At 36.8% G+C, this 27,895-nt stretch overlaps 1 long non-coding RNA gene and 2 pseudogenes across 4 annotated transcripts in view; 2 read left to right on the top strand and 1 right to left on the bottom strand.

The window, feature by feature from the left end:
* The window catches only part of LINC01881 (long intergenic non-protein coding RNA 1881), a 71,871-nt gene that overhangs the window by 29,235 nt on the left and 14,741 nt on the right, over positions 1 to 27,895 (top strand). For 2 of the 4 annotated variants that reach the window (NR_130701.1, NR_130700.1), the window contains 2 exons: positions 1,098 to 1,190; positions 4,420 to 4,588. This is a non-coding gene — a long non-coding RNA (long intergenic non-protein coding RNA 1881). Of the gene's footprint in view, positions 1 to 1,097; positions 1,191 to 4,419; positions 4,589 to 12,787; positions 12,946 to 20,896; positions 21,022 to 27,895 lie in introns of all 4 variants that reach the window. The other 2 variants (NR_130699.1, NR_130702.1) reach the window with 2 other exon arrangements.
* On the bottom strand, positions 2,010 to 2,275 carry CICP10 (capicua transcriptional repressor pseudogene 10; annotated as a pseudogene).
* Positions 4,418 to 6,985, top strand: SEPTIN14P2 (septin 14 pseudogene 2; annotated as a pseudogene).

A 27,895-nucleotide genomic window follows, 5' to 3' on the forward strand; every position in this document is an offset into this window, starting at 1 on the left:
CGGCTGTTGGAGACAAAGGTGCTATGACTCCAGCTGCTTTCTCTAGGACATCTCAAGTCACCTGTTTGGAATTTGAGACCAGTCATCTCATGTTTTCTATTATTGTTTTCTAGCTTACTTATCTCTACAACTTTGACCTGAAAATCTGTAGATTTTAAATATTTCAAATATGGAGGATGAAGATGGAGTTTAAAATGACTTCTGAAACCTAATGTGCTAATCTATACAAACCAATACAGGATAAGGGTATATCATGGAAGAAAAACATCTAAGAGAATAGCAGCAGTGTTTACAGTACTGAAAATAAATTGTTTCATTTTCTTCCTTCAGTTCTTGGACCTGTGGGTCTAAGCACCAGTTTTTTTGGTGTTTTGGGTTCTTGGCATCCGTGCTCCCAGCCTGAAAGCTGCCCGTGGTCACATCCAGCACTTGCCTTCAGCCCTCTCCATCCCAATGCTGGTTTTCAGAAGCACCTTCTTGCTACCGAAGCGCCTCTCTCAGCCCTGACCCTTGTGGTTGAGCATGCTTCCAGCCTGGGCAGTGCATGGCTGCTCTGGAGAGAAATCCCATGTTATACTTCAAACTCGGGCAGTGCATGCCTCCCCTGCAGAGAAATCCCATGTTACACTTCAAACTCGGGCAGTGCATGCCTCCCCTGCAGAGAAATCCTGTGTTTCAACTAGATATTTGTAACACCTACATCCTTACAATGCAGTTAATCAGATGATTTATGTATTTTTAGTTGCGTAGCCTAGAATGAATCCAGTTTTTTTATGATCTTAGCTTTAACGTCGTCCACACCCCAGTTTGTCCCCAACAAAACAAACCAGCAAGATATTTAATAAATATTTGTCTTTGTCATTACTTCAGCAGGTTGTAAAAAATGTCAGTTAACGGTGTCTCAGGTATACATAAACAGCTTAAATTATTAGCATTGCTACAATTTTACTATACTCTCATCTAAATCTAAAACCAGTCTTCAAAATAAAAACAAATTGTCCTTTGCCAAAATTTTTTTAATCGCACAATTAATTGACATTAACTGCCAATTCTTTTTGGCTAATTGACTAATTTTAACTTCTGTGTTGCTCTTCCAGAGGCATGGCTATTGCACCTTGGGAGAAACCTTTAATCGGTTAGACTTCTCAAGTGCAATTCAAGATACCCGAAGGTTCAATTATGTGGTCAAAGTAAGTGTTCTATTTCAAAAACTACTTTGATGACTCTTTTGAACAACTATATTTTGAAGATTGTAAGTGTACAACGTTTAAGATGCTTTTGGCAGCTTGAAGGTGTGCCTGTTTGCTGTGTATTAATCGAAAAACAGAAGGGAACAAGTTCAGGAGAAAACAGTGAGATTGGAGGATTTCTCCAGTATTGGTGGCAGAGGTTGCAGAGCCTCAGTGGGAGCAAACACTCATCTGCCCTGTGGCTCTGTGGTTGCTGAGGATGCCACAAGGTGGTCCCTTAGGGGTCGTACCATGTACCTACATACTGTGTCAGTGATAGAACGGTTGTGGGATCTTTACCTGATGATCTCACGAATGTTTTCTGCTTCGTGTTTTTCACAAGGAATGAGGCTTGTGTCACAGAGGAAGAAGTAGCTAATAGAAAACAGGAATTTCATACAAAATAGAATTCCACAAAAGCCTTATTGCATTAATGATACCCTTTTGGAAGAAATTTTTATCTTGGGCCACACTCAAAAAGAAAGGATCTTAGCCATATATTCCATTTATTGTTTGCTTTTGTCCAAAGATTAATTACTATGTGGTTTATGCAACTTCATTCTATTATGGATAAAATAGAAGCTATAGTTTATGAAGCTATTAATTTTGTGTTTCTAATGGTTCTGTGAGACATTGGAAAAATGTTTCTTTTAATTGCTTTTAGGCATTTGAAAGTGCTACTGGGAGGACAGAAAATTTAGGGAGTTTAATTATAAGCTTTAGATAATGTTATTTGTTCAGTTTGGTTCTGAGCAGAACTTCCGGGGCTGCTGGCCAGGCACCTAGTGTAGGGTCAACACTCCCTGTCCCACCTGGTGGACGCTCATGAGCAACAGCTGCCAACTTGGCAGGTTGTTTTCTCTGGTTGGAGGCCACTGAGTGACTGGCAGGTTGCTGGGCCTCGTGTAGCTGCGGGGGGGAGGGGGGGTCAGGAAGGGGATGGAGTACCAGGGGAACACGGCCACAGAGTGAACTTCCACATTCCTCCACACGAACATGCTGACGCCACGGGAGGCCTCACTGAACGCAGGCCTGGGGGCCGAGTACTTGGTCTGGGCAGGGGGTTCCTGGCAGGGGCTCACACCTCCTCGCCCCCTCCTCAGCCAAGGTGGCTTGGGCCCAGAGAAGGGGAGGTTGGAGAGGAGCAGAAGGCCAGGCCTCAAGTTTTTTTTTTTGTTTGTTTTGTTTTTTGTTTTTGAAATGTAGTTTGACTCTTGTCACCCAGGCTGGAGTGCAGTGGCACGATCTCAGTGGCCTTCATACCTGGCTACTTTTTTGTATTTTTACTGGAGGTGGGGTTTTGCCATGTTGGCCAGGCTGGTCTTGACCTCCCGACCTCAGGTGATCCACCCACCTCGGCCTCCCAAAATGGGATTACAGGCATGAGCCACCGCTCCCAACTTCATTCATTTTTACTTGAAAAACTCCCTTAAGCATTTTTTTTTTTTTTTTTTTTTGAGACGGAGTCTCGCTCTGTCGCCCAGGCTGGAGTGCAGTGGCGGGATCTCGGCTCACTGCAAGCTCCGCCTCCCGGGTTCACGCCATTCTCCTGCCTCAGCCTCCCAAGTAGCTGGGACTACAGGCGCCCGCCACTACGCCCGGCTAATTTTTTGTATTTTTAGTAGAGACGGGGTTTCACCGTTTTAGCCGGGATGGTCTCGATCTCCTGACCTCGTGATCCGCAGCATTTTTTTAAGGTAGACCTAGTGGTCCTGAATGCCCTCAGCTTTGTTTGTCGAGGAAACACGTTATTTCTTCTTTCTTTCTAAAGGACAGCTTTGTCAGACATAGTATTAGTTGCTGGCAGTTTTTTTCTTTCAGCACTTTGAATGTATTATTCGATTCTGTCCTGACCTGCAAAGTTTCTTTAACTTTTGACTATTTGATTATATTGTGACTTGGTGAGTATCTATTTGGTTTGAACCTCTTTAGGAATCTTTAAGCTTCATGGATTTAGATGTCTAAATCTTTCCCATGATTTAGGCAGTTTTCAGCCATTCTTTAAATGAGCTTTCTTCTCCTTTCTCTACTTTCCTTCTCAAACTCCCATAACCTGACAATGGTTTGCCTAATGGTGTCTTGTTGGCTTTCTTTTCTCTGTCTCTTTTTTTTTCTTTTTTTTTTTTTGAGACAGAGTCGTGCTCTGTCACCCAGGCTGGAGTGCAATGTGTGGTCTCGGCTCACATTGCACTCCAACCTCCGCCTCCTGGGTTCAAGCGATTCTCCTGCCTCAGCCTCCCAAGTAGCTGGGACTACAGGTGTGTGCCACCACACCAGGCTAATTTTTGTATTTTTAGTAGAGATGGGGTTTTGTCATGTTGGCCAGGCTGGTCTTGAACTCCTGACCTCTTAATCTGCCTGCCTCGGCCTCCCAAAGTGTTGGGATTACAGGCTTGAGCCACCACGCCCAGCCTTCTTTTCTCTTTTTTATTCTTTTTTTCTTTGTCCTCTGACTGGATAATTTCAGAAGATCTATATTCAAGTTTACAGATTCTCTCTCCTGTTGAAGTTTACTATTGTGTTATATCACCCAGTCTGGTCTTGAACTCCTGGGCTCAAGTGATCCTCCCACCTTGGCCTCCCAAAGTGCTGAGTTTACAAGCATGAGCCACTGCATCCGGTCAGTCCCAGCACTTTGGGAAGCTGACGTGGGAGGATCACTTGAGCTCAGGAGTTTGAGACCAGCCTGGGCAACATACTGAGAACTTGTCTCTATATTAAAAAAAAAAAAAAAAAGGTCTTTGGGAGGCCAAAGCGGGAGGATCACCTGAGGTCAGGAGTTCGAGACCAGCCTGGCCAACATGGCAAAACCCCATCTCTACTAAAAATACAAAAATTAGACAGGTGTGGTGGCACACGCCTGTAGTGGTGGTGCATGCCTATAGTCCCAGCTACTCAAGAGGCTGAGGCAGGAGAATCACTTGAACTGGGAGATGGAGGTTGCAGTGAGCTGAGATCGCACCAGTGCACTCCAGCCTGGGCAACAGAGTGAGACTCCATCTTATAAAAGGAAAAAAGAAAGAAAAGAAAAATTCCGTATCTGAGTGTTTACTCCTGAGTTTTTGAGATTGTTATTAAGATCGTGCTCTACTGTGATGATTTGGGTTTGTTTGATAATCACAAAAAAGCATATTCTTTTGGGTGTTCAGCCACACTCCTTTGGTGTCACAACTGCACATTGGTTTCACAGCTGCAGGACAAATTCGAGCATCTTAAAATGATTCAACAGGAGGAGATAAGGAAGCTCGAGGAAGAGAAAAAACAACTGGAAGGAGAAATCATAGATTTTTATAAAATGAAAGCTGCCTCTGAAGCACTGCAGACTCAGCTGAGCACTGATACAAAGAAAGACAAACATCGTAAGAAGCAATAGTTTCTCTTACTATTCTGAGAGCCTTATCATTCTACATCCCATCTTCCTGTGAGATTGTCTTTGTAGCATTTAACTCTAATTGCAGTTCTCTTTTTAAAAATTGGCTTGCTTATTGTATATTTTCCCCAACTAAAGCGTGAACTCCTAGTAGGGCGTGATGGCTCATGCCTGTAATCTCAGCACTGTAGGAGGCCGAGGTGGGTCGACTACCTGAGGTCAGGAGTTCGAGACCAGCCTGACCAAGATGATGAAACGCTATCTCTACTAAAAATACAAAAATTAGCTAGGCGTGGTGGCTGGGACCTGTAATCCCAGCTACTTGGGAGGCTGAGGCAGGAGAATCACTTGAACCCTGGAGGTGGAGGTTGCAGTGAGCCGAGATCTCACCATTACACTCCAGCCTGGGCGACAAGAGCAAAACTCCATCTCAAAAAAAAAGGGTGAACTTGAAGGCAGGTCCTGTGTCCATCTTTTCAGATTCTGTATCCCAGCACTTGGGACATAGACAAACACGAAGATGACAATCAATATTTGCCAAAATGAAAAAACAAACATGTAACATCATGTAAAAGAAGCTGGTTAGCTGGAGAAATTTCTTTACCATAGTCTTGCTTGTGGATCCAGTAGTGACTTTTACATTTTATATCTAAATAGAAGCTGGAGGCTTTGTTGGGTACTCATAGGCATAAAATATTATGTTATTTATTATAGAGTTAAATGCTACAAAGACAAATCTAATTAATAGGCCTATTTTCCTTTTTAAGTTCTACTCATAATTTCTTCATAGTTTTTATGATAAAAGGTTGGATTTTGATTAGAACTCCCATGCTTTTGTGTCAGAATTAAAACTGGTATTAGAATAAATAATTCAAAAGCTAGAGAAAGAGTACAATGAGAAGCCATGAGTTGCATTTGAATTATAATATTATGTCTTACAGATTTGGGGTATATGCTAAAGTTACCAAAGTTGTAGAAAATAAGGCCGGGCATTGTGGCTCACATCTGTAATTCCAGCACTTTGGGAGGCCGAGGTAGACGGATCTTTTGAGGTCAGGAGTTCGAGACCAGCCTGGCCAACATGGTGAAACTCCGTCTGTACTAATAGTACAAAAATTAGCCAGGTGTGATGGTGTGCACCTGTAGTCCTTGCTACTCAGAAAGCTGAGGCAGGAGAATCGCTTGTACCCAGGAGGCAGAGGTTGCAGTGAGCAGAGATTGTGCCACTGCACTCCAGCCTGGGTGACAGAGTGCTATGAGTCACCACACCTGGTATGAGCCACCGTGCCTGGCCCACAATGACTTTTACACATGTTGTTAAATCATCTTACAGATTTTATAATTTGGGGGAAGAACAGTTTTACTAAATGGTCTTTTAATGGAAACTCTACAAGAACCAGAATCTTTGCTTTGTTCACTTATGTATCCATTCCTAGGCCTAGAAAAATGTCTGACACATAGCGGCAATTATTCATTGAATAAATGGACCCAGCGATAGTACATTAGCTATGCTATATGCATACATTAAAGATGTAGATTATTGACTTTCAAAAGATAATTAATGTAACTTCTTACTGCTGAATATGTTTGTGAGTTATATTGCTGAGGGACCTTTATCTTCTCATTCTTTCATCTTAACCCAGTGTTATAAAATTGAAATCACCAATATTATTCCATATCTAAAATTAATATCTACCTTGTAAAAAATATCACTCTGCTGCATTTGACAATAGACTTTTTAGGTAATAATGATGCAATCCATAGGGTTTTTTGGGGGCACAGAGGGATTCATGCTAACAGAACATTTTATTTTCTATTTTCCCAGAGCTGTAAAACATGAAATTGGGGTAGTATAAGGCATATTTTTACTCTTTTTATAATTTTTTCTAAAAAAAATTAGTGTTTGTTCCCTATATAACTTTTAACTTTATAGGTAAATATTTGTCTCTTTCAGCTCCAGTTTTATGTGAAATAGAGTTTTCAGATTTATGTAGCATGGAAAGTTTTAATATGTCAGAGTTACTGATTTTTGCCATTTTCTCAATTATTTCTTTTTTATCTTTAGTTGATTTTTTTGTAGTGACACATTTTGTTTCTAGTCTCATTTCCTTTTGTTTATATTCTATGTATATTTCGTTTTTGGTTACTATGAGAATTACATATAACATCCTAGAGTTATAACATTTTAATTTGAATTTATTTCAACTTAAGTTCAATCACATACCAGAATTCTACTGCTATACATATAGCTCTACTCTTTTTATGTTATTGATGTAACAAATTATATCTTTATTCATTGTATACCAGCTAACAGATTTACAATTACATTTTATGCATTTGCCTTTTAAATTATGTAGAAAATAAAAAGCAGAGTTAGAAACCAAAATTACAATAGGACTGTTTTTATGTTTGTTTATGTATTTACCTTTACAGAGAGCTTTGTATATTCATACAGCTTGCTTATTTACTTATATAGTTATTGCCTAGAGTTCATTTATTTCAACCTGAAGGACTTAACACTTCTTGAATGGCAAATTCAGGGATAAATGGATTTTTTTTCAGTTTTAAAAAAAATCCGGAAATGTCTTAATTTCTCCCTCATTTTTGAAGGATAAGTTTTCCAGCTATAGATTTCTCAATTGACAGGTTTCTTCATTATTTTAAATATATAATCCACTGCCTACTGGCCTTCAAGGTTTCTGCCGAGAAATCAGCTGCTAATGTTTTCTGGATCCCTATCTGTGAGAGTTGCTCTTCTCTCTGAGTTTTCAACATTCTCCCATTATCTTTTGTTTGTTTTTGAGACAAATAATTGTACATATTCATGGGATACAGAGTGATATTTTGATACATGTATACAATGTCCAATGATCAAATAAGGATAATTAGCATATCCATCACCTCAAATATTTGTCATTTATTTGTATTGTGAACAGTCAGCATTCTTTCTTCTAGTTTTTAAATTTATAAACATTTAAATTTTATTACAGAAATTTAAATTTTTTGATTCTGAAAAAGTCATATATGTATGCAACATCGTTTTATCATTTATTTATATATTTATGCATCTTTCCTTTTAGTTTTGACAGATATTTTCTATTTTATCATTATTTCAAAAGAACTCTTACCTGTATTTATTTATCAATTATATTTCCCTTGTTTTTTCCTAGTATATTAATTTATTTACTTATCTTCTAAAAATCCTCCATATAATCTGTTTATTTTGTTTCCTTTCTATAATTTCTTCAATGATTAGTTCTGTTCTGTTTTCCATTAAAATATTTAAATCTCGTATGAATTTTTGTCAGATTAGAAATTTAGGGCATTTCTTAATTTCTCTATATTCTAGCTTTTGACTTTTTTTTTTCTGACCTAAGAGGTATTTAGAGCACATTTTAGATTTTTTATTTTGACTAATCATTTAAAATGTATACTAATCTTCAATTTAAATAAAAAACTGGTCTATAGTGACAAAAATTACAAATGAGCCTAACTAATAAATTATCAGCTGTGTTTATATGTATAGGCATGCACAGATTTTGGTAAATATGTACATAGTATATTGGTGAGCTTATTTTTGTCGTTCTTAACTCATTGTGTAGTCTAAACGTTGGGGAAAAAATAAAATACAATAATCAGATGGTGTGAGTAAGAAAATTGTTCTGATGTTTGTAAACCAAGCAACGGTTTTAACTGCTCCCCTCTTCCCGATTGACTTCTAAAAGGGATTGATCCATATTGGGTCCTGTCGTATATGTCACGGTGCAACTGTTTTAACTGCTCCCCTCTTCCCGATTGACTTCTAAAAGGGATTAATCCATATTGGGTCCTATCATATATGTCACGGTATAACATCTCCAGCTATAAAATGGAAATTTGAGAATAACTTTGCTGCTACTCAGATACATTTTATTTCAAAAACATACACTAAGGTGTTGCTGTTGGATCTTTCCAAAAACATATTCACACAGAACTTTCAATCACACTGAGCCATATTTGAACAATCTTTCAAGGTCAGCTCTGGCATAAGCATAAGCTAACATTATACCATTTAACTCAGAAATTTCTTTAGTATTTGATTAATGGGTTTATGTTTGATATGTAATGTAATTTTCTAATGCTAAATCAAGTGGTAATTTTGTTAGTCAAGTTGATTTAGTGGCTTGGGAAGAAAGCTTTTAATGTTCCCCTAATTTTTCTTACCTTTGACATGATCCTTCACATGTCTTATTTGCTTAGTGATTTTTCTTTTTTTTTTTTTTTTTTTGAGACAGGGTCTTACTCTACCACCCAGGCTTGAGTGCAGTGGTGCGATCACAGCTCATTGCAGCCTTGACCTCCCAGACTCAAGCTATTCTTCCACCTCAGCCTCCCAAGTAGCTGGTACTACAGGCACATGCCACCAAACTTGGCTAATTTTTGTATTTTTTGTAGAGACAGAGTTTTGCCAAATTCTCAGGCTGGTCTGGAATTTCTGGGCTCAAGTAATCCTGCCTTGGCCTCCCAACATGCTGATATTACAGACATAAGCCACAGTACCCGGCCAGTTTTCTTTTTTAAAAAATCTATTGGTTATTAATTTGAAGCCTTCCTTTTCATAGCTGTGCTCCTTAATTGGGAGCAAACATGAATGGACCACAACTTAGCCAATTTTCTATATACGATCTTTGCCATCCTAATTTAAAGGAATATTAATTCTTTCTTTTCCTCTTTCATTCCACAAACCTGTATTGACTACATCTAAGTTCTAAATGGTGCACTGGATGTTGAAAAAGTTGATGATGAGCAAGAACAAAATTCCTGCTTTCAGGAGACTTACAGTTCAATATGGGAAATATAATTTGTTAAAATATAAAAGTGCAATTGTGTTACATGCTGTACGAAGTACATGTTGACATGTGAGTATATAATAAATGGGCTGGAGGCCAGAGGATTGCCAAAGAGAATGGGCCTCCTGCTGAGATGAAAAGTTGAGCAGGGATTAGTTGGCGAAAGTGGAGGGACGACTCTTTCTAGGCAGGAGGAAGAACATGTACAGAGTCTCTGAGGTGTGATGCGACAAAGTCTATATAAAAAACTGAAGAAAGGTCTAATGTGGCTTAAATACAGAAGCTAGTAGGAGAGGAGTTGAAAGGAGGCTGGAGAAGTAGAAAGTGTCTGCATTCTGCAGGAACTTATATTGTATAAAAAGAATTTCTCTTTATTCTAAGTGCAATGTGAAGCCAATGAAGTGCCTTAAACAGGTGATGTGATTTGATTGAATTTATTACTTCACTTAACAAATATTCATTACATGCCCACTGTTTGTCAGATATTGCTGTAGCCCCTGGTGATACAGTAGGGAATAAAACAGGCAAAAATCCCTGTCCTCTTGCAGCTTATAATGGACTGCAATGTTTAATATGTCAGAGGAGGTCCACGGAGGAGTGACTTCTAAGCAAGAATCTGAAAAAAATGAGGCTATCTAAGGAGGGAACAAATGGTTCAAAAGCCCTATAATTGCAAGCAGGCATGATGAAGCAATTGCAGTTGTCCTGACTCTCAACACCGTGGAACTCAAAGGAGATGGAAAGATTCTTTCTCTCCCTCATATATTTTCTCTCTTTCTGTCTATATATATAGAATATGAGACATTTCCCTAATCATTATGTGTAATTACAATTACATATATATATGTATGTAATATATAAACATATATATGTAATTGTAATTACACATAATGATTAGGGAAATGTCTCATATTCTTCTACTCAGAAATAAGCAATATAGCAATTACTGTTTTTTACATTTTACAGTTACAGTTTCAGAGAAAGTTTGATATTTATCTAAAATTTTTCAATGTATGAACTTTTTCATTTGGCAAACCATAATTGTACATATTCTTGGGATACAGAGTGATATTTCTTTACATGTATAGAATGTGTAGTGATCAAATCAGGGTAATTTCCACTAATTTAAAATGCCACCTTTATGTTATTGTAATTTATATATATACTATATATATATACACACACACATATATATATACATGTCCACATACAGTGTGTGTGTGCACATGTACACACATGCATATGTGTATGTAATGCCCAGTATAAGCAATGTGCACAAATAAAATTAGCTAACAGAGATAGTATAGAGTGAGAGGAGAGGCAGATTAATCTTTGAGGAAAAGCACAATTTTATGGCTGAATGGAGAAAGCTGAGGTGGTTTCTAAGATGGAGAATAAGACAAAAAATGTAAGTACGTTGTTTGACTGAATTCAAGAAAGAAGGGTAAAAGAGAAGAAAGTAGTGGTCTTATCATTAAATGCCACAGAGAGGTAAAGATAAAAACAACATATTGTTTTGGGTTTAGTAATTTAAGGGTTACCAAATTCCGTTTTGGAGGAGGAACAGATTCCATGTCCACTAGAATGGAATGAACGAGAAATGGAGGAGGAAAATAGGTAGTTTTTCAAAAGTTTTCAAAAATATGAAAAGAAGAAATGAAATGGTACTTGGAAGAGATTGTTGAAATGGGAGAGACTATGGTGGCTTGTTTAGAAGCAGTTGAGATAGATCCAATTGAGATAGAGATATTGACTATATAAACAAAAGAATGACAAATTAATAGTGTAATGGATAACTTGACTTTGGCAAATATTGTGAATTTTTGTGAAAGTACAACTAAAAGGCAATGTCACTCCAATAATCACCAGAATAATCAATTTGCTTATTGCTGTCCCTTTAAATATAGTTCTCTGGTATCAACTAACATGTTTTTAACTAATGATGCTTCTTAAAGAAAAGGGAAAAGACCTTTTTCTTTCTTTCAGTCTTCAATGATTCACTGCTTCATCTCGCTCCACCAAAGATAAATGAAATCTACATCTCTTATACATTAACAATGCATGACAATTTATAAATAGCTAAATTTTTGGAGCTAACTTTAAGTACCTGAATGGAATTTAATCAACCCACTAATCTTCTCACTTCTCAGTTATTTATCAAGTTTATGTCAAGGGACAAGGAAAAGTTATCCAAATATTGTTTAAAACAATCATCATTAATTAGTAACACTTATCCAGGGGGGTTTTTAACCTTTCCCCCACTCAAGGATTATTCTAACGTCAGAGTAGAATAAAAAATAAGTGCAGCGATGCTGACTCTTCCAAGCTTAACATTTCTCACAAGTCAATTAGCTTTGTACTGGGAGGAGGGCGTGAAGGGCTGCTTGCGGTAGTTGTGTAGCAGCAGCACAATGGCCGCAGACAAGGAAAACAGTTTCTAGGAATTCCTCGTATATAATTTTATATTTTTGACAAGATTAATGACCCATGCTCCCTTCCTCTCCATTTCTTTTTTTGGAATTCTGTTGGTATGTAGTTACTATATTTTATTAAAGGAAATTAGCCTTATCTCTTATTATATTTTATTAAAGAAAATTATTATATTATTCCTTTATATTCTTATTAAAGGATTTTATTATTATTATTATTAAAGGAAATTAGCCTTATCTCTTATTATATTTTTTATGACCTTCAAAGTAGTGTCTCTGCTTAAAAGTGTACCCTGGCCGGGCGTGGTGGCTCACACCTGTAATTCCAGCACTTTGGGAGGCCGAGGCGGGTGGATCACGAGGTCAGGAGATCGAGACCATCCTGGCTAACACGGTGAAACCCCGTCTGTACTAAAAATACAAAAAATTAGCAGGGCATAGTGGCGGGCGCCTGTAGTCCCAGCTACTCAGGAGGCTCAGGCAGGAGAATGGCGTGAACCCGGGAGACGGAGCTTGCGGTGAGCTGAGATCGCACCGCTGCACTCCAGCCTGGGCGACAGAGCAGGACCCCGTCTCAAAAAAAAAAAAAAAAAGTGTACCCTGAAGCACACATCAAGCGACATGTAGAGTTCATAAATTCTGGCCAAATGGTCATACCTCAAACCTCATCAGCACTAAGGCTCTTTACTTGCACTGACAAATATGAACGCTGGGGAATTTGGAAATGATATATAATATATAATATTATATATATAATAGATATATAATATATAATATATATAATATATATATAATAGATATATGTAATAGATATACAATATATATTATATATAATAGATATATATTATATATAATAGATATATAATATTATATATAATAGATATATAATATATAACTTTCCATGTGATTTTCCTCTTAATTTTTTTCTAGCTGATCCATATGAATTCCTCTTATTAAGAAAAATAAAGCATCCAGGATTCAATGAAGAACTGACTATCACCTTGTTAATCATTCAGAAACATGTTGCAGACTTAAGCCATTTTTGATATAGATACTGAAACAATTACTTGCTAAGAGCAAACTTGAAGGTATGGATAAGGCCCTGAGTCATCTTCCTGAGCTGAATGATAGTTAAGCTGAATGTACGTATAAAATACGATTTTCTAACCACTTACTCACCAACAAGGAAAACTTTTAAGTAGAGCAGAACCTGAATAGACAAGACATTTCTTTCTTTTGGTAGAAAATGATTTACCATCACTGTCTAGTTAATTGTAGACTAGGTAATTTTAACTTTGTGATTTATTGCCGGAGACATTTTCTTCTGTACTGTAAAGTGTGTGTCAAAAAAAAATAGCGATTTTGGAGGATTAGGGGAGTTTGATAAATTGCCTGCAATTCTGGCAGTATGAACTGCATATTAATTTCTCTCTTTCAAGAACATTTTTATTTATTAATTCCTTACAAAAACTCCCTAAACTTTGGAACAGCTCTCAATTGCCTGTATTCTTTTTTTTCTTATTATGGTACTCTTCTAGAGATTTGGCTTGCATCTATGAATTAAGCCAGGACATCTTCAGAAATTGTCTGATTAAAAACACCACCAATGGAGTTTCATTTAATTTGTATTGCTCTGACTAGTGAAACACACACATCTATGTTGCTGAGGATATTTTACTGCAGTTTGAGTTGTAATAATAGCTCTGTTTAAGATCCGTCAGTCACTTGAATCTTCTCTAAGGCTTTGTATGTTAGAAGTTAATTTGCTTTCTTACAAGGCCACATTCTATCTTGTAACTAAACAACTGAATTTTATGTCTTAGCGTAGATGGTTTATTACTTTCTGGTTTTTCTTTAGTAAGAATCCTATAAAAACACTAGTATTTTTCTCTGAGTTTAAAATTCAACACATGCCTACTGATATGGTTAGGCTTTGTATCCCCACCTGAATCTCATCTTGAATTGTAATCCCCATAGCCCTCATAATCCCCACAGGTCAAGGGAGAGACCAGGTGGAGGTAATTGAATCATGGGGGCAGTTTCCCCTGTGCTGTTCTTGTGATAGTGAGTTCTCACGAGATTTGATGGTTTTATAAGGGATTCTTTCCCCTTTGCTCGGCACTTCTTCATGCTGCCTTGCGAAGAAGCTGGCTTGCTTCCTCTTTGTCTTCCGCCATGATTGTAGATTTCCTGAGGCCTTCCAAGCTGTGCTGAACTGTGAGCCAATTAAACTTCTTTCCTTTATAAATTACCCAGTCTTGGGCAGTTCTTTATAGCAGTATGAAAACAGACAAATACACCTACTATGTAAAACTTAAAATACAACAAAACAAAACAATATCTCACTAACATAGGAGCTAATATTTTGGTGTACTTTGTTTAGTATTTTATATTAAAAATATGTACATATATATTTATATATAATTAAGAACATGTATGTACAATCGTGCATACATCATGTACATACATCTACTTAAGAAAATAGCTATGTAATATACCATTACTCAACTAGATTATAATTTTTTCTCCATTTTTTATTGTAATTTATCATTTTCTACTTTTTTGTTTTCTCATTTATTGCATAATATTTAATTATGCAAAAAATACATTAAATACATTGAAAATATATAGTGTAGCTATAAGAATAAAGAACGATGGTAAAACAAATGCTAATACCCACTACCTGACTTAAAGAATATGATACTATTTTTTTCCAATTGAAATCCCCTCAACTACTCAGAATTACTGCTATCCCTTTTATCCTTTCATTAATTTTCTTCTAGTTTTCTCACATGTGAATCTATTTCTAAATACATTTCTTTATTTTGCAAGTTTTTGGACTTCATATAAATGTAACCATATTGTATATATTCTTCTTCAGCTTCTTACTTTTTCACTAAACAATATGTTTTGCTGATACTTACATTCATATGTACAGTAATAGTTGATTTATTTTAATGGCTATATATTATTCCATTGTTAGAATACACCAGGATTTATTTTTACTTATTTTTTTTGCTGGAAAATTGGGTGTCTTTTTTATTTTTTGATATAACAAACAATGTTGTAATCATTTTGTATTTACTTCCTAGTCCACTCCTGTAAGTTTCTCTTGAGTACATACTAGCAATGAAGATGCTGAGTCACTGCATATACATACTCACAAGTTTATTCTATAATGTAATATTCTATAAAGTAGCTGTATCAGTTTATACTTTAACCAGTAATGGACAAGATTTTATGTTACTTCCCATCTTTGTTAATTATTACTTTTAGACTCTAACTTTTATCAGGCTCATGGATGTAAAAAGTATCTCAGGGTGGTTTTAATTTGCATTTATCTGCTCATCTATGAAGATGAGCTTCTTTTCATATAATTATGAGTCATTATTTTTGTTTTGCCTTCTTTTGTTTATGCATTTTGCTTGTTCTATGTCTTATTTTTCCTGTTGATTTTTGGGAGTTCATATATATTCTAAATGTATATTTATTCACTCATATATATGTTGCAAATATTACAGTTTATGATTTGTCACCTTATGATATCATCCAAATAGAGAAGCTTTATATTTTGATGTAGTCATATGTTCATTTTTCCTCCTTAATGTTTGTTTTTCTTGGTTCTATGACCTACCAAATGTAACAAAAATTCTCATTTATTTTTAATCTAAATGTTTTAAGTATTTTCCTGGAATTCACCTTGAATTGATTTCTATTGGAGATAGATATCCAATCTAATTTGCCTCATATGGATAACCACTTGTTCTATTACTGCTGTAACAAATTTCTACAAACTAAGTGACCTAAAATAACACAAACTTGTCATCTTACACTGTACACAAGTCAGAAATCAGGCATGAATTTTAGTGAACTAAAATCAAGTTGTCGACAGGCATGTTTCTTTATGGCGGCTAGGGTAGAATCCATATCCTGGCCTTTTCTATCTTCTAGAGAACATCAGCATTCCTTTTCTCATTGCCTCTCCTCTCTCTTTTTAAAGCTGGCAATGTCACATTTCTCTGACCATTCTTTCATTGTCACATCTCTCTCTGGACTCAGCTAAGAAAGGTTCTCCATTTTTAAGAACTCATGTGATTAGACTGGGCCCATCTGGATAACCCAGGAAGTTCTCTCCATCTCGGTTTGCATCCTTAATCACATCTGATAAGCCTTTATTGCATTCAGTGTAACATATTCACAGGTTCCAGGGTTAGGCATGGGCATCTTTGAGGGCCATTATTCTCCCTACCACATTATTTGCCTAGCATCTTTCATTACATTGTCCATCTATTTACTTACTGATTTCTAATGACATCCAAATCAGTTACAACATTTTATGTAAGCATTGTTTTTATTTTTATGTTATTCCACTAGTCTGTTTTTCTACTCATGAATTATGGTACATGAGTTTATTTTTGCAACTTTAAGCTCAATAACATGTTTTAAGATTTCCTCAACTTTCTTTTTCCACTTCTTCAGAAGTTGACTCTTTTGGCCCTTTGGTCTTCTATACACATTTTAGAAATGCTTTGTTGAGGACTAAGAGGAATGCTAAGATTTTGATAGGAATTTCATTGAATTTTGAGTATATTGGCATGCTACAATGGTTAGTGTTTTATACATGAAAATAATATATCCCTTCCTCTTTTCCTAGTATCATGAGATGTTTGTTAGGCAGACATGAATATTGAGTTGTATCAAATGTGTTTTTCTGCATTATTGTGGTGGTGATGTGATTTAGCTCCTTTAATTAGTTAATGTAATGAATTACATTTGTAGATTGCTCTAACTATTGAAACAAGCTTGAATTTCTGGAATAAGCCCAATGTGATATTTATTCAACAAATATTCATTGAGTATACCTAGTATGTAACATGCTTTAAGAATACACCAGTGAACCAAACAAATATCTGACATTACAGAACTTAACATTCCAGTATTTGGAGACAGACAATAAAAAAGTGAACATGTATATTTACAGTTTGTCAAGGAATGATAAATGAAGACTCTTAAAGTAGATGGGGAATTGGGAGTGAAGTCTGTAATTTAAATAGGGTGGGCAGGAAAGCTTCACAGAGAGTGGGACATTTAAGAATAGACTTGAAGGACAGGCAAGAGCAATCTCTATGTTTATATGGGAGAAAAGGTTCCAGGCAGATGCAGTAACAATGGCAAATATCCTGAAGTAGGATCATGCTGGAGTTTTTGTGGAGCAGCAAGGAGGCTAGTGTGACTGCCACAGAATCACCCAAGGGAAGATGAGAAGATCAGACCAGACCAGCACTTGGGCATCTAATGGGAAAAGTTTCTCAAGCCATCATAAAAATTTCACTTTTACTATAAATACTACGAGAAACCATGGGATGTTTTACAGTAAGAAAGGTGGCATAATATGTTACATGTTTTAAACAAACTCTATAGCTTCTGAGTTGAAATAGATTGTAGGGGCTCATGGCAGAAGCAGAGGGAACATTTAGGAGACTACTGTAAAGAATATCATGAAAAGAACAAACAACGCTATGTAACATGCTTAAATGGACTGAAGAAGATGTATAAAATCAAAATGATGTTACCTTCACACCTTGAATCAGTACGATAAACCCCCCTCCCCAGTCACAAAAGAAAAACTAAACACAAAAACCAGGCTTTGGTTGCTCAGACAATTTTACAGGTGAGTTCTAGCAAACATGCAAAGAACGTTTAATTGCACTGTTACAGAAATTCTTCTGGAGACAAGAAAATACGACACATCACCCAACCAATTTCATAATAACAGTGTCAATGTATAATAACAGAAAAAGTGGATCTCCGAAGAAATAAATTTATTTGGAAATAAACAAGTTTTATAATCTGAGATATTTGTGCTATGATCAATCATAGGTGCATCCCAAGAGGTTGAGGTAAGGAAAATATGTAAAGACAAAAAGAAGTCTATGCAAGCTGTTTTGAAACAAACATCACTGGTCACAGGGCCTGATGCAGGAGCTGGTGTTAACTTACTGGCAGAAACAGCCATTGCTAGGCAAGTGTTCTTGTGAGGGTGGCTTATCTGAAATGCTGCAGTCTTGAGGAATTTTTTATGATAGGTCCTATTATAGAGACACCTACAGGATGAGCTGGACAAACAAGAGTGTGCTGGGTGGGCAGAAATTTCTTGTGAGTTTATAGAAAGTCCTTGTGATAGTGCTTATCGTGGACACACACACAAGATCCCCTTTTTCATGACCCGGCTCCACTTTGCTTTGGGTCTGATGTAAGTGACTTTGCCTTGTCATTGGCAACTTTCACTGTAGTATAATCTGCACATTAAAGTTACCTAACAATAGTACAAAGAAAGAAAATTAAAGGTATATCTCTTTCAAAAATATAAACCCCAAAATTGTTAGGAAATTGTAGTGAGTATAAAAGATAATTCATTATAATAGACATCTCAAGCTTCACAGAATTCTGACCTTTGCTACACTCTCATCCACAATCTTTTCTCCTAGTAAATGGCAGCTCCTTCTGTTAAGTTGCTGAGGCTTCTTATTGCTTTTTTCTTCGAATAACAGTCAGAACTGAACAACTGTAATCATCCTAGTCCATACAATTGTTATATTTTCATTTAAAGAAGATCAATGTGTGATTCTTTTTTATATATTTCTGGACAATTCTTTATATTTTAATAGTAGTCAGAATTTGATCAGGAAAACAGAGGACATCCTATGTATTATAATGATAAAAGTTTAATATTAATTAGGGCCTTATGCTATTATTGGAAGAGCTTGGTGAATAGATATTAGAAAAGCAGCTAGACAAAATCAGAAGAGGTCTGTTTTATATCAGAGATCTTAGCCTGACAGTCTAGAGTGTGGGCACAGAACCCAAGCTTATAGGAATTTCTGAAAGGTCTGTAAATCTTATCCAGATGGACAGTGGGAGCTCATAAAGAATTCTGCAAGCCATCACATCTGTCAAACCTGCTATGTCTAATCCTTAAGCCTGCTTTATGTGAAGACCTCCTCTTCACTCCTCACTTCCAGCTCTCATGAGTTTCTTTCATAGGCAAACCCAAACCTGGAACAATGTGCCTGAAGACTTCGGGTGAGACAGTACCCAGACTTAAATAGGAGGGGAGCCATGGTGGAAGTGGCCATCCAGCACAATTTTCTTGGTCTTTACTCATAGTTTTGATTCCTTAAAAAAATTAACCACATTAAAATATGTGTTTCATAATCTACATCTAATAATACAAATATTTAAAGTCTTTTCAAGTTTGAATACGCTACCCATGTTGCTGCTACCCCCATTTTGTGTGTGTGATTTTTGTGTGTGTGTGTTAGAAGCTCATGACCTTTGAAACCTGCTCTTATGAGCTTGCTTTGATGATTTATTTGTCCAGAGAGGATTTTTTTTCCTACCTAGCATTTTGGACTGCTATCAACCTGAGACCACTTTGAATTAAATTCTCAGCTTGCAAATTTGGAAGCCACACAGATTGTGTGAGTTCAGGCTGAAACCTGTTTGAGAGCTGGATTCTGGCTATAAACTCCACAGGGAACATTTTCTCTCTCCACTCAGAGCTGAGACCATAGGGAAATTTATTTGCTAGCTCTCTTTGAAGGTTTATTTTATTTATTTTTTTAATTTCTAGTACACGTGCTCACTGAAGGTGTAATACTTATGTGAGAATCTCAGAATCAGTTGTGTTCTTTGTATGACCCTGGTTTTGTTTCCTCCTGCTCTCTTACTTTCAGTGTGTCTCAGTATGTCTGCTCAATATGTCATCTTAAATTTCAACTGAGGGTGGATCTTCTTCCCAGCTCACTCACATGGTTCTTAGCTAGATTCAGTTTCTCTCCATTTGTAGGACTGAGGACCTCAGTTCTTCACTTAGGGTTGGCTACAGGTAATCATCAATTTCTTGTAACAGGACTTACACTGGGCCACTGACAGCATGCCAGTTGGCTTCATTCAAATGAGAGGGCAGGAGAAAGAGAGAGAGGGAGAGGGCACAAGATGAAATTCACAGTATCTTATAATCTGATCTCAGAAGTGGCATCTCATTACTTTTGTTCTATTCTATTCAATAGAAACAAGTACCTGGGACCAGCTTACACTATAGGAAAGAGATTATATAAGGGTATAAATACCAAGAGGTAGAGATCATCAAGAGCCATTCTGGTAGCAGCCACAATATCTTATCCAGAATATTTCTTATTCAGGCCTTCAAATGTGCTGTCTTTTCTGGTCTAATGGAAATGAACCTTCCTTCCATACAATTTTTTCTCCTAAATTGTACTCTGGCTCTCTTATCACATACAAACGTCTATGTTAGGTATTTGTGTCTGTCTTGATTCTCGGTAGGCTTTTAAACTCCGTGAATGTTGGACTGTGATGTAGACATCATTTCACCGCACACTCTGTAACCACCAAACCTTAGCAGCTTATTCAGTAAGCACATACTTGGCTCTTAATGAGTATTGCTTAAATTGATGAATTGAATTAGTATTTTACCTTCTCTGTTGCTTAGCTAAGCAGAAGAATTTGTCATTTTTTTAATTTAGTGACTGGTTCTATTAAAAGTTACCTTTGTCTATATCATTTTGTTATACTAAAGCACAAATGTATAAGGTCAAAAAACATTCTCAAGATTTTGTTTAAACCACAGCCCTCAGTTGTGTATATTTATCTCTTGTTTTCATATGCAGGATTTCTCCTGAAATGGGCAACAATTACAAGAGTTTTTTTCCTCTTCTGAACTAAGAAAATAAATATTTAATTCACAAGTTTAGAAAAGTGAACCTGAAAAATCACAGGGCTAGGTGGGTTATGAGGCCCACTGGTACATGATAGTGTTGAATGTGGATTAGAATGAACTCCGTGGATTAGAATCTCAGACCATAGGCAAACATTTACTTGTTTTAGAATAAGCACATTTGAGTCTGCAATAAGTATTACTATTTTTAAGTTGAAAATGTAATTGGTTTCTAATAATAACCATATTGGCTAGCATTATTTCAATCGTGTTTAATGTTTTCCAATGTCATTTCATGTCAGATATCTCTCTTGATTCTTAGTAACAATTTGGACAAGACAGCAAATGCTATTGTCGAAGTTTTCTAAAGAAGAATCTGAAGTGAAATGACATCAAGAGACCTATCAAGACCTGTATCCAGGAAAAGGTAAATCTGAGCTGAAATTGTAGCCTTTGTAAATTACCTACGTGACATACCAGATAGTGTTCATGATCCATTTAGTACTCTGTTCTAAAAACGAGACAATATCCATTTATTCACTTGTTCATTTATTTAGTGTTTGTTCAGCCCTTACTGCATATTCCAGGCACTATTCTGACTGTGGCAGGAGTGAACAAACAGGCATGGTTCTTACTTGCATGTAATTACAGTCTTATAGTGAAAACAAGTGTTAAACAACAACATCTCCCAATTATTTTAAAATTATAAACTTGATTCGATACTATGTGGCCATATAATTGTTCCTAATTTGGTTGGAGAAGGGAGGCAGTTAGGGAAGCCTTCCCTGAGTTAGTGCCATTTAACCTGATTTATGATAGATGATAAGTAATTTGTCAGGGGAAAAATACTCCAGGAATAAAGAACAGGTACAAAGGTCAGGTTCTGGGAAGAGCTTGTCTTGGTCCAGGAACTAAAAAATGTTAGAGTGGCTGGATCTGGGAAAGAAACAAAGAGTTATTAAATGAGGCAGCAGGCTTCAGCAGGTGCCACATTGCTCAGGGCCTTGTAGGCCATGCTAAGGATTTGGGATGTTAATGTCAGTACAAACAATTGAGTCATAAGCAGAAAGTAAAAGCATGATTCCATCAAATGTTATTCTCTAAACAGTAATTTTATAAATACAGGTTAAATGTGTGTGGTCCCAGCTACTCAGGAGGTCCCAGCTACTCAGTATTCCTTTTCAACAAATATTAGGTGCCTACTATTAGCCAGGTACAGCCCTTAGCTACTTTGAATGAAGCATATATTACAAACTGGCAGAATTTCTTAAACAAAGAATCTAAAGTTGTTTATACACCATAATCTCGGTATTTTATAAATTTCTTGAAATTATTTTTATTTACACTGCTTTGCAGAATTTTAACTGGCTTTGAAATAAACAATGACAATAGTCCTCCATGTTACTAGTTTCAAATTTTCCCAATACCTACTAAGACATTACTTAATCCACAGATTTACTGTCAATAGTTTGTATCAAATTGTGATAACATATTTGAAGTTAATATTTCAAATTAAAGCAAAATCACAAATTTATACTTTATATTATGAATGAGATTCACAAAAGGAGCATGATAATATATTCTGTTGTCATCGCATACAAAATAATAACATATAGAGTATGAATCAATAATTTTTCAAATACAAAGCTATTACAATTAGGAATACAAAGAAATCATAATTAGGAATACTTCTACAATATTAACACACAATAGTGGTAACACTTGCAAAATGATGGTGGTGTTTTTTGTTTTTTGTTTTTTTTCCCCGACAGAGTCTTGCTCTTGTTGCCCAGGCTGGAGTGCAATGGCGTGATTTTGGCTCACTGTAAACTCCACCTCCTGGGTTCAAGTGATTCTCCTGCCTCAGCCTCCCTAGTAGCTGGTATTACAGGTGCCTGCCACCACACCCAGCTAATTTTTGTATTCTTAGTAGAGATGGGGGTTTCACCATGTTGGCCAGCCTGGTCCCGAACTCCTGACCTTAGGTGATCCACCAGCATCGGCCTCCCAAAGTGCTGGGATTACAGGTGTGAGCCACTGCGTCCAGCCAGTGGTGGGTCTCATATCTCAATGTGGACTTTTACTAACTCCCGATGCCTCAGTTTCCTCATCAGTTGAAAGGAATGAATGAAAGATTTGTGTTTTTCATATTACCAGGTAGATGATAAGGAGATTTTAATTTTCTTTTTTTTTTTAACTTTTATTTTAAGTTTAGGGGCATTTGTTACATAGGTAAACTGGTGTCACAGGGGGTTATTGTACAGATTATTTCATCACCCAGGTATTAAACCTAGTACCCAATAGTTATCTTTTCTGTTTCTCTTCCTTTTCTCACCCTCCACCCTCAAGTAGACCCCAGTGTCTGTTTTATTCTTTGTGTTCATGAGTTCTCATCATTTAGCTCCCACTTATAACTGAGAGTATGCTGTATTTGGTTTTCTGTTCCTGCATTAGTTTGCTAAGGATAATAGAAGGTCCATCCATATTCCAGCAAAAGACATGATATCATTTTTTAATGGCGGCATAGTATTCCATGGTGTATATGTACCACATTTTCTTTATCCAATCTGTCATTGATGGGCACTTAGGTTGATCCCATACTTTTGCTATTGTGAACAGTGCTGCAATGAACATTTGTATGCATGTGTCTTTATGGCAGAATGGTTTATATTCATCTGGGTATATACCCAGTAGTGGGATTACTGGGTCGAATGGTAGCTCTGCTTTTAGCTCTTTGAGGAATCACTATTCTTTGCACAATGATTGAACTGATTTGCACACCCACCAACAGTGTATAAGCATTCCCTTTTCTCCATAGCCTCACTAGCATCTGTTATTTTTTGACTTTTTAATGATAGCTATTCTGACTGGTGTGAGGTGGTATCTCATTATGGTTTTGATTTGCATTTCTCTAATGATCAGTGATGTTGAACTTTTTTTTTGTATGTTTGTTGGCTGCATGCATGTATTCTTTTGAAAAGTGTTCATTCCCTTTGCCCAATTTTAATGGGGTTGTTTTTCTTTTGTAAATTTCTTTACATTCGAAATGTTTTTATTATTAAGTTGAGCTGCCTCATTCTTAGTATGGTTTTTCACTTTAAAAAGCATAAAGGTGGACATGGTGGCATATGCTAGTAATCCCAACTACTGGGGAGAGTAATACAGGAGGGTTGCTTGAGCCCAGGAGTTCAAGGCTATAATGTGCTATGATCATGACTGTGAACAACCACTGTACTGCAGCCTGGGCAGAGTGACATAGTGAAACCATATCTCTAAAAAAAGAGAAAATGTAATTTAAATCTTTAAATACATATGTATATGTGTGTATATATGTATATATATTGCATATATCAAAAATGGTTTGTAGTTTCCATTCACAGCACATAGTAAAATGTCTTAACCTCCTCCCTCCTCCCTATGTGTGTTTTTCTAAGTGTGTGTCTTTCTTACCTTAATTTTTCTCTTAGTGTCTCATAGTCTTCTTAGGTCTCCCTCTTTCTTCTGTCTTTCACACACACACACACACACACACACACACGCATGCATACACACATGTACCTTGAAAAATAGCTTTTCTTTTTCTTAAAACTTCCCAAAGCTTTCATAAAATTAGCCCTCAGGCACTCTTACGTATCTCATCCACTCTTCTTCCTCTCTCCCCTTCCTGAAGCCATTTGTAACTTACTCTATTACACTAGGAAGGGGAAGCAAATATTCATATTATTTTCTTGTTATATCCTTAGCATTACTAGACCTTTGTGGTTTCTATGGATGAGGGACATAATATTTATTAATTTATTCTAAACTTCAGTCACTCATAATATACCCTTTTATTCCTCCTTCTTCTGTGATATTGGGAGTGTATAGTTGTCATTGTGACAAACCCTTTGCTGTCAGTATCTATAGTGGATGGGGAGAAAAGGAGGGCTTTGCCAATCATCGTCTCCAGTGCATTTCCCACTGTCAGCGTCATTGTCTAATGCTGTTTGCATCCACACAGCCTAAGGGAACCGTTTAAGTGAGTGACTCCCTCCCTTCACTTCAGCCCATCACTTGAGCATTTCTCTCCCTTGAAAAAAGACAAGTGGTGCTTCTAAGACTTGAGTAATTCTGAATATAATTGAGGACTAGATGTTCCTGTTTTATATCCTACAGGGCTGGCATCTCTAATGCTGAAACTACAACAAAGTGCAGTGGTAGTCACTGAGTGTTCAGCCATGCTGGGTCATCAAAATAAAAGGAGATCGTCTTCCCATTCCTATCAATGGCCTCATCTCTACCAGATATATAACTGGAAAAACAATGCATTTGCTTAGACATCCACAGTGAGCCACACTTGTTCGGTGTTGTGGGAAAATGATGCAGAAGCATCCTTGTTTATTAAGGATCCAATTTTGATAGGCTGAGGCATATTTTTCCTCCCAAGTCTGCACATGGTCATGCATTAAATATTAATGAGCATCTTCTCTCTATCAGGCTTTGGGGGATATGTTCACCTCTTGGGAGGTGAACATGATACATAAGATCCTTTCTCTCATGTAGCATTCTCTCCATTCTTTTTTTTTTTTTTTTTTTTTTTTCATAGGGACTAGCTCTGTCACCTAGGCTAGAGTGCAGTGGTGCAAACATGACTCACTGCAGCCTTGACCTCATGGACTCAAGTGATCCTCAAGTGATCCTCTTGCCTCCACAACATCCAGCTAACTTTTAAAAAATTTTTTGAAGAGAAGGTTTTGCCATGTTGCCTCAGCCTCCTGAAGTGGTGGGATTACAGGTGTGAGCCGCTGCACCTGGCCACGTTTTCTTTCCATTCTTATGGAAGGCAGTAGTCAGCAAAACAGTTAATCAATTGAGAATATATTAGGTTGTTATAGGAACCATGAAAAAATAAAATAGAGTGTGTAAAGAAGGCTTGATGGCCAGGAAGCTTTTACAGGGAAGTGACATTTGAGCTGAGACCAAATACTTAAAGAAGCCAGTTCTTTGAAGAGTTGATGGGAAAGTATTCCAAGAAGTGGGAATGGCAAGGGGAAAGGACTTAAGGTGTAACCTCAGAATGATTAAGGAGGAGCATGGTACAAGAGGATGTCAGAAACATAGCCAGGAAAGAGAGCTATGCTTAAGTATTAGGATTTTATTCTTTGCAAAGGAAAAAGCCCATTGAAACTTTAAAGCAAGGACCTAAGAGTTAACATAATTTTTTTAAGGTACCTTAAAAATTTTGCTGAATGAAGAATTCATTGAAGTGAGTCAGGAATGTATGATTTTGGACAACTGACACAATGCCTGAGGCATAGTTTCTTCATATGGAAATTGGAGACAATGATCATATCTACCTTAGCAGATTATATAATGAATTATTTTCCTAGGGCTCCTGTAATAAAGTACCACAAACTGGGTAACTTAAGCAACAGAGATTTATTGCCTCACAATTCTAGAGGTGAGAAGTCCAGATCAAGAAGCTGGCAGGGCTAGGCTGCCTGAAAAGGTGCTAAGGAAGGAACTGTTCCAGTCCTCTTTCTCTCCTTCCAGTAGTTCCTTGGCTTGTGACAGCACAGTGTCAATTCTCATATGGCATCCTCCCCGTGTGCCTCTCACTATGTCCAAATCTCCCTTTTATTTAAGGACAGAGTCACAGTGGATTAGAACACCCCCATAACATGAAGATTGCATGAAATTATATACATAAATAATTCAACAACATAGCTTCCAAATAGAAAACACTCAGCCTTTGTCATCTCATCATTATTTGTTTACACCTTTGTATTATTGGTATAGCTCTAGTCTTTTGAAAGGTGCAGTTACTCATCTTTGTGTTTTCCACTCCTTTATAGCTAAGTATAAGGTGCTTTTGCAAAATCCAGTACTGCATATTTGAGAAATGCTTTTTATTCCTACACATACTGCATATACTGTTACACAATTCGATTTTGTAGGTCTAATGAAGTTGGTCTTTCTATGAGTTCCTATGGCTAAAAATAGTCACAATTGTGTACTCCAGTAAATTGTTAGAATGAAGGAAAATAGTTTGAGTGAAATTATCAATCTGGTTTTTCTGACTTCAGCTGTGTGTCATGTTTGGTTAGTCAAGAGAAACATCTAATGTGAGGCCCCTGGAGGACAGCTGATAAGTAAGCATACCAAGTAGAATGGCTACTGGGAAAAGTGTGCCAGCTAGAGAGAGAGAAAAGAGAGAGTTAATTTACCATTTGCTCAAGTAAGGAATGATCCACAAATTCAACAAAATCTAAGTAGTCTTAAAGGACATGTCATTGACAGATTTATCTTCTAGTCTCCCACTTTGTCTAACACTGCTTCAAAACAAAGCACTTTACTGAACCCAGTGGTCTCATTACTCTGGAGGTTTATAAGGTTAAAAATACCTGGAGTTTTGGGAGCAGCAATAGCACTGAAGTGGGATATTAGTAGTGATGCGTGTGTTTACAGCACCTGTGAACACACAGAGACTGAAGCTTGAAGGCTGATGACCCTGAATTAGGGGAAAAGATAAAACTTTTTATTAGATTTTTTTAATGTCGAGAAGAAAATTATTTATCTCCACATTTCTTGAATATTATCCTCTTACAATTACGTCGATGATTCTCACCCCAGTTATATATTAAAATTACCTGGAGATATATAAAAACTATCAATGTTCTACTCTTCTACAGATTAAATCATCATCACTGAGGGTGGCCCTCCAGCAACCAGGTTTGAGAACCACTTTAGACCAGAATTTTTCTCTGTGCCATTCAGTAATGGCAATGATAACTGTAGGATACGCAAATTGCAGAAAGACAACGGCAAATGATTTAACTTATCCCCAAACAGCTGAACTATCTTAAGCCTCATGGCTACTTTAGAGTGACCAAATCCATGTAGCCGCCAGAAGTTGTATCATGCACCTATTTCAAGGGACACATAGAATTTACCTATATATACCTACCTCAAGGGTCATGTCGGTTTACCATTCCCCTAAACAACATCTTAATAGTATAAACTGCTGAACTGCTGTCTGCCTAATATTTATTGAGGCTATACTTCTTCTTTTCTGTATTAAAGGCCACTGCTTTTCCCAGCTTGCTCTTTGTTCTCCATCATCTGTTGTGGGTCACTTGTGCTTTCTGTTTTTAACACCCGTGTTGCTGAAGTCATTTCTCCAATTCATGATCCATGAAACTACTTCAGCAGTGAAAATGGCACCCCTCAGGTTCAAGTCAACATTTTTATATGTCCCTCTAGGTCAAGATCCAAGCTATGGAAGAAATCAGGATATGTCAATTTTCTAGAGCAGCCAAGTT

The sequence above is a fragment of the Homo sapiens genome, chromosome 2 (genome assembly GCF_000001405.40).
Source record: "Homo sapiens chromosome 2, GRCh38.p14 Primary Assembly".
Classification (NCBI taxonomy): Eukaryota; Metazoa; Chordata; class Mammalia; order Primates; family Hominidae; genus Homo; species Homo sapiens.